The 12593-nt window shown below is 42.9% G+C and overlaps 1 protein-coding gene and 1 long non-coding RNA gene across 2 annotated transcripts in view, besides 1 other annotated feature; one reads left to right on the plus strand and one right to left on the minus strand.

Moving 5' to 3' along the window:
- The window catches only part of FAM66D (family with sequence similarity 66 member D), a 35408-nt gene that overhangs the window by 18733 nt on the left and 4082 nt on the right, over window positions 1-12593 (plus strand). The window contains exons 3-5 of the long non-coding RNA NR_027425.1: window positions 10909-11032; window positions 11125-11186; window positions 11418-11501. This is a non-coding gene — a long non-coding RNA (family with sequence similarity 66 member D). The remainder of the gene's footprint in view (window positions 1-10908; window positions 11033-11124; window positions 11187-11417; window positions 11502-12593) is intronic.
- Window positions 1921-4335, minus strand: USP17L2 (ubiquitin specific peptidase 17 like family member 2). The gene has a single exon (NM_201402.3). The coding sequence runs from the start codon at window positions 4244-4246 to the stop codon at window positions 2654-2656; it is 1593 nt and encodes a 530-aa protein (NP_958804.2). The 5' UTR covers window positions 4247-4335; the 3' UTR covers window positions 1921-2653.
- Window positions 2330-2831: an enhancer, noted in NCBI's record as "H3K27ac hESC enhancer chr8:11994353-11994854 (GRCh37/hg19 assembly coordinates)". NCBI's record gives its function as "activates a minimal SCP1, AML or CMV promoter by ChIP-STARR-seq in primed H9 embryonic stem cells {active_cell/tissue: H9 hESC(primed)}" and the evidence as "EXISTENCE:reporter gene assay evidence [ECO:0000049][PMID:30033119]".

Below are 12593 nucleotides of genomic sequence, written 5' to 3' on the forward strand. Positions count from 1 at the left end.
ATGTACTTTTGGCAGCTACCATCATCCTCTCAGCGATGGAAGCACAAGAAGTCTGAAGTGCACTTTCTGACCTGAGAATAGTCAATGAAGTATAGTATTTAGCACAGCGTATATTTTTCCTTAATAATAAAGGAGAGATCCGTGGAATCAAACAGACCTTCCAGCGATAACCTTTCCACGTTCAGACTATTGATTCTCTATCCGAGTGAAATTACCTGCCAGTGGAGAACAAGACAAGTCTTTGCATGAAATACTCTTGTGGAAGCTAGGCTGCCAAATAAAGCATCAAATGGTAGAAACATGCACTGAAGTTTGAAGAGTTACTCAGTGCACAAAGTAGACTGTGAAAGACTTTGGGGAAATCATGCAATCACCGAGAGACTAATTGATGACTTTCCCCAAATTTATGTGTGCCAGAAAAGAGAGATGGTCCTGACATTGTATAGTGAGTGGTTTCGGACGTGCGGCGGCAGTTTAAGAAAACATGAAACAAAAACCTTGAGAAATCCAAAGGTATCCCAACTATAAGCTTTTGTTTATTAAAGAACTGATGAAAATCAAAACAACATATCTCACAGCATGGGTGATACTGTTTCCATACGTATGTGATAATGGCTCAACATTTCATAGAGATGAAATAAAAAGTTCTAATTTTGACAAAAGCAAACAAGGAAAATTATACCGTAGAAAAGCCCGGGTGACGGGAGTGAGGCCCTGTCTGAAGAAGAAAACATCGGAGACGTTTAAAAGCAGGGAGTGAAACAGAAGATAGCATAACCTTTTTAATGCTGGCCCTTGTTTCACAGGGAAAAGGCAAAAATGCAAAAATAAGCCGTGTGTCTCCTGGATTCTCTCATCGATTGTTCATGGTCTGAGATGTTCCCTCCATTTCCAGTTATGCATTGTATGGTGGAATTGCAGTTAGTACATTTGGTGCAAAAATTGTAATGCTGACGAAAGTGGACATGTTCCCTGAACTAAGAGGGACAGCATTTGGGTGTGTCTTCAGGCTCTCTGGCTTACCAGGAATGAAGATCCTGGCTCTAGGGATTTTCCCAAAATGTCTTAGACAGTAAGGAACAGGGCAGAATTGAGGCCCGGCGCCAAGGCCTCTGGGTGTAAAGAAACAGCCCTGGCTTCAAGGGCTCATGAAATTCGGATGATTTTAAGGAGGATGATGGAATGAGAGGACTGTGACCTTTGGCCCCGTTTCTTTCCCTTGTCTTTTCATGGGCCAGGTGTGCTCCATCAGAAGGCTTCGTGCGCCTGATGTAAAGTGTCCTGGGGGAAGAAAGGAGCACTGCTTAGAAAGATGCTCCACAGGGAGAAAGAAGCCACCATTTTCAGGAGAATGATCCCCAGAAGCATGAGCAATGCAGATGTCGTGGCTTCACACAAGACGTCGGAGGGTCTTATTCCTGCAGCCGGGACCTGGGCATCGGTGTGCTTTCATGTTCCTAACTGATTTTGAGGGGAGCCCAATCGATAACCTGTCTGCGAGTCATGCTCATCACACTGTAGTTTTCACACACGTCACACGGAGACCCTGTTCGTATGCACATTTGGGTGCTTGAGCAGGGTTGCGCCCAAGATTCTGTGGTTCTACGGAGCCCTGAGTGGTGCCCTGGGCAGCTTTCCTCTGGGGTTGGTCAACTTTGATCACTGCACCTAACGAGAAAGGGACCATGAAATCTAATCAGCAAATACAGACAAGCAAGGGGCCATTTCCCACAATCATTTCCACGGAAACACCACGTCGGATACGTAAGTCTGATTGCAGGACAGGGACTGTGCTTCAGAGATGCAGCTTTCGCAGCTGGACGAATGACCCGGAATCTCCCCAAATGCCATTTGTAAGCACACCAAATGAGGTTTATTTCAGGGCTTTCTGAATTTATTTCAGTTGAATACACACACTCCTGTGTTTGATTTCCTTTATTATCAATACGACTTATTTCCAAATGACTGACATGCCAGTGGGAAAATTTTCCATTTCGACTCATTGGAATTGGACATCGTGAAACAGGCAAGTCGGTCTGTCTGTTTCCGGCGTTATGTGGGTTCCAGCAAGAGCACAAGTCCCAGGGCGCCTGAGGTCCATTCAGAAACCAATGTAAAAACGGTGAGCCAGGGTAAGAAAGAAGAGCACCGTTCCTATCTTCTAAATGCATTCCAGTTTCCACTATTCAAGGTGGCGAGAATGATCCATGGATGTGCCACATGAGCAAAATTTCACCTTCTCGTGCCGCCCAACAACTGACGAATGAAACACACCCCAAGAGAAAATAGGAAACCGAGTCCCCTGCAATAACCTCACACTCAAACCTACACGTCAGTAGGTCATATTCAGAAATACACAGTGAATGTCATCTACCATGAACACAAACACACAGACAGTCTCTCCAGAGGTTCGGAAGACTCACGACCCCAAAACTTGATGTTTCCCATGTGTGGGCTCATCCTGAGATGCAGCCATCACTATCCAGTTGTCCCTGTTGTAGAGACAGAAACTTGGACTCCTCATTACTTTATGTAGGATTGACGGTGTTCGTGTTTGTGTGTGTGTGTGTGTTTGCGTGCGCGCTTGTGGGTGTATTTGTGCGTGTGTGTGTGTGCGTTCACCCCTACGTGTGGGTCGGCACTTCCACTGAGATCACTGGCACACAAGCAGAGCCCTCTTGCTGTGTTTGTTCTTCCCTTTGGATCTCCTGGTCCTCCCTTGCAGAGAAGCGAGGGTGCCAGTGTTCACGGACTCCTGATCTGTCCGGGTCGTCGAAGAGAGGTTTAGCAGGGAGCTTTGCTGTTCAGGATGATGGTTTTTCATCCCACACTTGTATTTCGATTGATGAATCACAAGTACGTTGGGAGGCAGGGTACCTTCGACTTTTCTGACGTTGAACTCAGGCTTCGTTTTGTTTTGCTCTTGGGGGAATTTCCAGTGGTCTAAGGTGCTTTCCTGAGTGGCTCTTTCCACCAAGCGCTCGTCCAACTCGGGTGCCTGGAGGCAGGGGTGGTCTCTCTTGAGCTCTCCTTGCGTTGCTCGCCTGTCTGTGTCTTCAGCGCCGAGGGCTCTTGGTTCCCTGCCTCTTGACACACTCTCACTGTGTCTTTCCCATTCACTCTTCTGGATGTAAAAGAGGACATAGGCCTGTTGACTCAGGACAGAAGTGATGCTACAGGCAGTGACCTTGGCATCATCCATTTTATACCACTGGCCTTCTTGAGCTTTGACATAAGAGAAGTAATGTCCGTCGTGACAACTCCACCCAGCGTGGACCAGCACAGCATAGAGGACATAGACAAGAGGTCCTGTGTTCTGCTGAGACATGTATGGCTGCATGTCAAGGCACTCAGGATATTGCACATTCTTGGCAAGTTTGTTGCCTGTGACATCGGAGAATCTCTTCAAGACAAGGATGAGGACCTTGGCAGAAGTGTGTAAAGTTAACGTCTTGGAGGCCGGCGCCCTCTGGAGACAAAGACCGCAATGATAGGCATTCTCTCCATTGAGTTCTTCGGGCTTCACCAACTGTTCCAAAGCTTGCTTGACACTCTGAGCTGCCTGGATATCCAGGGCGATGTCCAGGTAAGGGTCAAAAGTGTCTGAAATCCCGTGGCAGTGGAGACACTTGATTTGAGATCTCCAGCAGCCTCCAAATATTTGGTGGATGAGGGTGGTGTCCTTAGAGTGATGATCTACCTGCTTGTGGCCGGGAAGGCATGCCTTTTTCATGGCATCCACAGTGAACATGAGAAATTCATGGGCATCTTCCTGCTTGCCTCTATGGAAGCCAGCAGCCAATGCCTGTGAGGGCTGGATGACATGACCAGGACTGTGGAGGGCCCATGTGATGTGAGCTTGCATAGTACAGAGCATGCAGCACTTGGGACGCTGACATGTTTGAGAGTGCTCCCGGGACAGCATGTAGTTGGCAAGGGGCGGTGTGTATGTCAGGCACTGCAGGGAAGCGTTCTCGTAGCAGGTATTTCCCATATTCTGGAGCCCAGCCCCCACCGCAGCAGGTCTCCTGCTACTCAGAGGAAGCTTCTTCCTGGGAGCAAGCTGTCTTGCCACAGGAGCCAAATCATCACAGAGGTCGACACGGGCCTCAGATGAGAGTGGTGACTTCTCAGGGAGAGAAGTCCGCTGGATTTCAGCAAAAGCTGCATCTGGCCGAGAAGATGTGAGTTTTGAAAAGTGGTTGAACTGCCACTCACCTCCCAAGTAGAGTGAGTCGTCCTCCATGTCGCCCGCAACAAGGATCACAAGGTTTTTCTGCTGGGACTGCAGGTTGCAGCAAGACGCTATCTCTTCCAAGAGAGTCTTCAAATGACGAGCTCTCTGGCCGCATCAGCCCTTATATAACTCACCCCCACCAACCGCGAACACCCCACCCACCCATCAGGTGTGCGATAAACCAATCAAATATCAGCACTCAATTAAGGAATGAGTCACAGGGTGTGTCCCCTTGCATCGCTGGGAATTCAACAGACACAGCCCACATCATGACTTCTAGAACACCTGAATCAAATTACTCCTCAGGGTGATAGGCACATATAATATGAGTGTAACCGGGTTGGGACAGTGGCCACACAGTTGCCTTATTTTAGGTAAAAGAATGTCAGGGAAGAAATCTTTACCTATGAAACCGTGTGTGTATCTCTCTGTGTGTGTGTGTGTGTGTGTGTGTTTGTGTGTGTGTGTGTGTGCTTGTGCTGGGATGAACTTCCAAGTATGTACTTTTGGCAGCTACCGTCATCCTCTCATCGACGGAAGGACAAGAAGTCTGAAGTGCGCTTTCTGACCTGAGAATAGTCAATGAAGTATAGTATTTAGCACAGCGTATTTTCTTCCTTAATAATAAAGGAGATATCCGTGGCATCAAACAGACCTTCCAGGGATAACCTTTCCACGTTCAGCCTATTGACTCTCTATCCGAGTGAAATTACTGGCCAGTGGAGAACAAGACAAGTCTTTGCATGAAATGCTCTTGTGGAAGCTAGGCTGCCAAATAATAAAGCATCAAATGGTAGAAACATGCACTGAAGTTTGAAGAGTTACTCAGTGCACAAAGTAGGCTGTGAAAGACTTTGGGGAAATCATGCAATCACCGAGAGACTAATTGATGACATTCCCCAAATTTATGTGTGCCAGAAAAGAGAGATGGTCCTGACATTGTATAGTGAGTGGTTTCGGACGTGCGGCGGCAGTTTAAGAAAACTTGAAACAAAAAACTTGAGAAATCCAAAGGTATCCCAACTATAAGCTTTTGTTTATTAAAGAACTGATGAAAATAAAAACAACGTATCTCACAGCATGGGTGATACTATTTCCATACTTACGTGATAATGGATCAACATTTCATAGAGATGAAATAAAAAGTTCTAATTTTGACAAAAGCAAACAAGGAAAATTATACCGTAGAAAAGCCCGGGTGACGGGAGTGAGGCCCTGTCTGAAGAAGAAAACATCGGAGACGTTTAAAAGCAGTGAGTGAAACAGAGGGTAGCATAACCTTTTTAATACTGGCTCTTGTTTCACTGGGAAATGGCAAAAATAAACCGTGTATCTCCTGGATTCTCGCATCGGTTGTTCATGCTCTGAGATGTTCCCTCCATTTCCAGTTATGCATTGTATGGTGGAATTGCAGTTAGCACCTTTGATGCAAAAATTGTAATGCTGACGAAAGTGGACATGTTCCCTGAACTAAGAGGGACAGCATTTGGGTGTGTCTTCAGGCTCTCTGGCTTACCAGGAATGAAGATCCTGGCTCTAGGGATTTTCCCAAAATGTCTTAGACAGTAAGGAACAGGGCAGAATTGAGGCCCGGCGCCAAGGCCTCTGGGTGTAAAGAAACAGCCCTGGCTTCATGGCCCATGAAATTAGGATGATTTTAAGGATGGTGATGAAATGAGTGGGCTGTGACCTTTGGCCCTGTTTCTTTCCTTTGTCTTTTCATGGGCCAGGTGTGCTTCATCAGAAGGCTTCCTATGCCCGATGTAAAGTGTCCTGGGGGAAGAAAGGAGCACTGCTTAGAAAGATGCTCCACAGGGAGAAAGGAGCCGCCATTTTCAGAAGAATGTTCCCCAGAAACATGAGCAATCCAGATGCCGTGGCTTCACACAGGGTGTTGGATGGTCTTATCTCTTTAAGCGGGACCTAGGAATTGTTGTCCTTTAATGCTCATAACTGCTTTTGAGGTGAGCCGAATTGATGTCCTGCCTGCGTGTCATGCTCATTGCACTTTAATTCACACACATGTCACACACAAACACTCTGAATAAGCACATTTTTGTTCTTGAGCAATATTTCACCCAAGATTCTGTGGTTCTACCGAGCCCTGAGTTCTGTCCTGGACATCTCAACTCTTTGGTAGGTCAACTTTGATCTTTGTACCTAATGATAAATGGACTATGAAATCTTATCAGCAAATATACAAAAGTAAGGGGCCATTCTCCACAATCGTTTCTCTCTGGTAGGTCATCTTTGATAACTGTACCTAACAAGAAATGAATATGTGATGATTCCTAATCAAAAAATTTCTTGATTTTTTGCCATTTTAATTAATTCTGTTAATGTTTAAATAGAGTTTTAAACCCGAGATTTGGCATGAAGTCTAATCGTCAAATACACAAAAGGAAGGGTCCATTCTTCAAAATCTTTTCCACTGAAAGACCACCTCTGATATACAAGTCTCGTTGCATTACAGGGATCCTGCTTCCAAGATGCAGCTTTCACAGCTTGATGATTGACCCAGAATCTCCTCTAATGCCATTTTTTTACACCCAAAATGAGATTTATTTCAGGGCTTCCGGATTTTATTTTAGCTGAATACATCCACTCTTCTGTTTCCATTTCTTTCAAACTCTTTTAAATAATTATCTTGCTGCATCAGCCCTTATATAACTACTGTCCACCCACCGAGACCATTACATTTATCCATCAATTACCCTATTTACTAATAATATATCAGGATTCAATTAAGTTTTTTGTCTTAGGTTGTATCCTCTTGCATTCCTCAGAGAATTTAATGGACACTGCTTACACTGTGACTATGGAAGAGTTGAAGCAGATTTACTTGTCAGTATTATGAGCAAATATGTTAGGTGTGGAACCGGGCTAGGATAGTAGCTAAACATTTGCCTTATTTCATATATAACAATGCTATTTAACAATTGTGTACATATTAAACAGTTTGTGTGTATGAGAGAAATATTCATGGCATTTTTAATCCAAGGGTTTCTTGTATATGACATCATTTTTAAAAAAGTCAAAATCAGAAAAGCTTCACAAATTGGAAGATATCTAAGCTAAAACCTTTTGTTTCTTAAAGGAACGATGAAGATAATTGCAATGTAACACACGGCATGTGTGATAATGTTTTAATACATATCTAAAAATGCCTTAAAATTCAATAGAAGTAAAATAACAACTTCTAAAACTTGACAAAAGGAAACAACAAAAATTACACACTGGAAAAGCCTGGCTGACTGGAGTGAAATCCTGTCTCAAGAAGGAACAGACAAACACACAAACAAGCAAAGGATTCTAAAAGCAGGGAATCAAACAGATACTTGTACACCATTCTTCCTACTAGCAATCTTCATAGTAGGAAAAGGCAAAAACAACCCAAATGTGTGGTGAATTACTTCATCAGTTTTTTAGGATCTGCAATACTGCCTCAATTTTCAGTTACTCATTGTGGGGAGAACCTGCAGTTACCACATTTGTTCCAAAATTTTATGGTGATGAAGGTAAACCTGTCCGGCATTCTCAGAGGGACAGAATTCTGGTGTTTCTCCAGGTTCCTTGGCTTATCAGGAATGAAGATCCAAGCTGTATAGACGTTTTTCAAAAGTATGTACGTACGTATGTATGTATGTATGCATGTATGTACGTATGTACGTATTTCCTCTTTTTAAATTTAAAAAATACAGGATACATGTGCAGAACGAGCAGGCTTGTTATATAGGTATCCTCTGCTATGGTGGTTCGTTGCACCTATTGACTTATCCTGTAAGTTTCCTTCCCTCACCCCCAGCCCCCAACGGGCTGTGTTGTGTGTTGTTCCTCTCACTGTGTCCTTGTTTCCTCAGTGTTCAACTTTCACTTATTAGTGAGAACATGCGGTATTTGTTTTTTTTGTTGTTGTTGTTCCTGTGTTAGTTTGCTCAGTATGATGGCTTCACCTTCATCCATGTGCCTGCAAAAGACATGATCTCATTCCTTTTTATGACTGCATAGTATTTTTTGGTGTATACGTACCACATTTTCTTTATCCATTCTAGCACTGAAGGGCATTTGGGTTGGTTTCATGTCTTTCCTATTGTATATAGTGCTGCAATAAACATACGTGTGCATGTGTCTTTATAGTGGAATGATTTATATTCCTTTGGGTACATAGCCAGTAATGCGATTGCTGGGTCAAATGGTATTTCTGGTTCTAGATCCTTGAGGAATCGCCATACTGTCTTCCACAATGGTTGAACTAATTTACAGTTTCACCAACAGTGTAAAAACCTTCCTCTTTCTTCTCAGCCTCACCAGCATCTATTGTTTCTTAATTTTTTAATAATCGCCATTCTGACGGGTGTGAGATGGTATCTCACTGTAATTTTGATTTTCATTTCTCTGATGATCAGTGTTGTTGAGCTTTTTAAAAATATATTTGTTGGTTGCATAAATGTCTTCTTTTGATAAGTTTCTGTTCATATCTTTTGCTCACTTTTGATGGGGTTGTTTGTTTTTTTGCTTGTAAATATGTTTAAGTTCCTTGTCAACTTTGGTTATTAGACCTTTGTCAGATGGGCAGATTGCAACAATTTTCTCCCATTCTGTAGGTTGCTTTTTCATGCTGATGATAGTTTCTTTGCTGTGCAGAAGGTCTTTAGTTTAATTAGATCCAATTTGTCAATTTTGGCTTTTGTTGCAATTGCTTTTGGCATTTTTGTCATGAAGTCTTTGCCCATGCCTATGTCCTGAATGGTATTGCTTAAATTTTCTTCTAGGGTTTTTATGGTTTTGGATTTTACATTTAAGTCTTTAATCCATATTGAGTTAATTTTTGTATAAGGTGTAAGGAAGGGGTCCAGTTTTAGTTTCTTGCCTATGGCAAGCCAGTTTTTCCAGCAGCATTTACTGAATAGGAGATCCTTTCTCCCTTGCCTGTTTTTGTCAGGTTTGTCAAAGATCAGATGGTCGTAGATGTGTGGGGTTATTTCTGAGGTCTTTGTTCTGCTCCATTGGTCTATATGTCTGTTTTGGCAGCAGTAGCATGCTGTTTTGGTTACTGTGGCCTTCTAGTATAGTTTGAAGTTAGGTAGCGTAATGCCTCCAGCTTTGTTATTTTTGCTTACAATTGTCTTGGCTATACAGGGTATTCTTTGATTTCATATGAAATTTAAAATAGTTCTTTCTAATTCTGTGAAAAATATCAATGGTAGCTTGATGGGTACAGCATTGAATCTATAAATTAGTTTGGGCAGTATGGACATTTTCACAATATTGATTCTTCCTATTCATGAGGATGGAATGTTTTTCCATTCATTTGTGTCCTCTCTTATTTCCTTGAGCAGTGGTTTGCAGTTGTCTTTGAAGAGGTCCTTCACATCTCTTGTACTCCTAACTGTATCCCTAGGTATTTTATTCTCTTTATAGCAATTGTGAATGGGAGTTCATTCTTGATCTGGCTCTCTGCTTAACTATTGTTGATGTAAAGGAATGTTTGTGATTTTTGCACAATGATTTAATATCTTGAGAACTTGGTGAAGTTGCTTATCAGTTCAAGAAGTTTTTGAATTGAGATGATGGGGTTTTCTAAATATAAAGTCATGTCATCTGCAAACAGAGACAACTTCACTTACTCTCTTCCTATTTGAATACATTTTATTTCTTTCTCTTGCCTGATAGCCCTGGTGAGAACTTCCAATACTATGTTGAATAGAAGTGGTTACAGAGGACATCCTTGTCTTGTACCAGTTTTTGAAAGGAATGCTTCCAGCTTTTGCCTATTCAATATGATGTGGGCTGTGGGTTTGTTATAAATAGCTCTATTATTTTGCAATATGTTCCATCAGTACCTAGTTTATTGAGAGTTTTTAACATGAAGGGATGGTGAATTTTATCAAAGGCATTTTTGCATCTATTGAAATAATTGTCTGGTTTTTGTCTTTGGTTCTGTTTATGTGATCAATTACATTTATTCATTTGTGTATGTTGAACCAGCCTTTCATCCCAAAGATGCAGCCGACTTGATTGTGGTGGATAAGCTTTTTGATGTGCTGCTGGATTCCGTTTGCTAGTATTTTATTAAGAATTTTTGCATTAATGTTCATCAGGGATATTGGCCTGGATTGAGCAGGTATGTGTGTGTGTTTCTACCTTGGTTTGCCAGTAGGTTGATGTGTGAGTGTGTGTGACTGTGTGTGTGTGTGTGTGTGTGTGGGTGTGAATGTGCGATAGAGAGCCAAACTAGAGCAGAGGAAGTTCCCTGGCCTGCCATGACATTAAATGTTCTGAATTCAAGATACCAAGGGAGGCATGAGACCCACAGTGGAAACTTCAGGATGTGGCCAGGTTTCAGGGGTTTCTGGGAGCTGCCAGTGGGCATGTCTCAGGCTTGCTCCCACTGACAATCCATGTCTTCTCTCTAAATGGGAGATGGCTCTGTATGGAGAACAGGCAACAGAGAGCATGATATAAGGGTTCTACCTCATACTCACTAGGAAAGAAAACAGTTTTCATCATCTCTCACTCCATTCACAATGTAACTCTATAGACACAGGGGACAGTTACCTGAAATATTAGCATAGCTAAAGTCCTCAGACCAAATTAGATGTCCTACCTTCTCATGTGGATCAGATCCTAAAAAAACAACTGCTTCCTGTGGTCATTATCTTTTATCCCAGGCCATTTCCAATCCAGCGGAAGACCTTCTAGAAGAGATGATGGTGGGAGAGTGCTGACATACTATGTGAAGCTACTATTTGGAGTTGGACACGAGTGCATGTGTCCTTGTGCCACAACGGGAATGTGAGCTGGATGACAAATGGAGATTTGGACTTGTGATAATTGGCCTCTGTGTCATTGTGTGGAAGACTGACTGGTCCCTTTATTTCCTGTAGCTTGACTACAACACAAATGAATCCACTCAAATGTTGGCAAGTGGAGCAGAGTCCCAGAACAGGTAAGGCACTTTCCCTGCTTTTTCTTAAGATCAATCCTCATGCCTACAAATTAAAGTCACATCCCACACGATCATTAAAGTAGAGAGTGCATTCTGCAGGATGAGTGAAAAGGCATTTATGATTCTTGGGGGCAGATGTTCTACAGTTGCCTGTGCTAGTTCATGTCTTTCTGCAGATCACATTCTTAACCTCTAGAGAGTCTGGCAGGACCAGAGCCTTACCTTTCCCAGTCTGCAATCTCTACAGGTACAGAAACACCCCCAGTTCAAGGATCTTCACACCTGGATTTAGGCCTACTCCTGCAACTACCCCAGGTAAGTTTCCTTGTTCTTCAATGGCAAAGTTTGGACAATGCTGTTCAAACTCCAGGCAACAAGCAACATCTAGGGAATGTGCTTTTAGGTAGGGTCAGCATAATATCCCACCCTGGGAGACATTTTTATTTTAAAGTTGTAGAGGGTGTTGCTGCTGTCGGCTCCCTGCCAATCAGCACCATTTGCAGCCTCTTTTGAAGACAGAGAACTGAGGGCTGTCCTTCGAATGGAGCAGTGTGATTCCAAAAAAAGAGATGCTCCTTGTGGTCCTGGGACCAGGGATAGGACTCCAGTTGAGCCTGGTGGAAGAGGTCCTTGTCCTACCCCAACGGAGAGCCATGCAGCTGAGCTTGGGCGATGTGGTCCACGTGGTTGTTTCTGAGTGTGTCCTGAGGTTGCAGGATGGCTTGCAGTTCCCTATGCAGATCCAATGCATCTTTTGCTTTTTTGCTTCTACAACCTGGAATTTATATGTTCAAGATGGAGCCATCCCAGCCATGACAACAGAGAATGTACCACTCTCACTTGAGGAAGAGGGGTAGGCAGTGCTCCTGTATCACCAGCCCTTAATGAGACCCTGAGGAAACCACATCATGGAGATCAGCCCTTCTCTCCTGTAAGGAACTCATCCTATGAAAGAGCAATTAGTGCCTGCAAGAGCTGTCTCTGGGACAGCGGTTCATGTCTATATCTGCAGGGTAACCCTCATAGTCATATGCAGTCATATCCATAGTCATATCGGGAGTCAGATTCCAGTTTGACTGAGTGAGTGGAGAAACTAAACATTTATTACTGAATAATAACATTAATAAACCATCTTAATGATAGTAATAATAAACATATTGATGAGTATTAACAGGAATGATGATGATTATTATGATACTAATATCCATAATTAACAATTTTAATATTGATAATAATACAACCCTGTGGACTTGGGACCTAAACAGCAGTTTCCCCTTACAATTATCCCATATTTGGCCACAGGGGGTAATGTTGAGTTCCAGAAGGCAAGGATTAACATTCAGAAAATAGGAAAAACAACCTGCAGGTAAGCATGTGCACACATTGGGACTCTATGGATAAATACTA

The sequence above is a fragment of the Homo sapiens genome, chromosome 8 (genome assembly GCF_000001405.40).
Source record: "Homo sapiens chromosome 8, GRCh38.p14 Primary Assembly".
Lineage (NCBI taxonomy): Eukaryota > Metazoa > Chordata > Mammalia > Primates > Hominidae > Homo > Homo sapiens.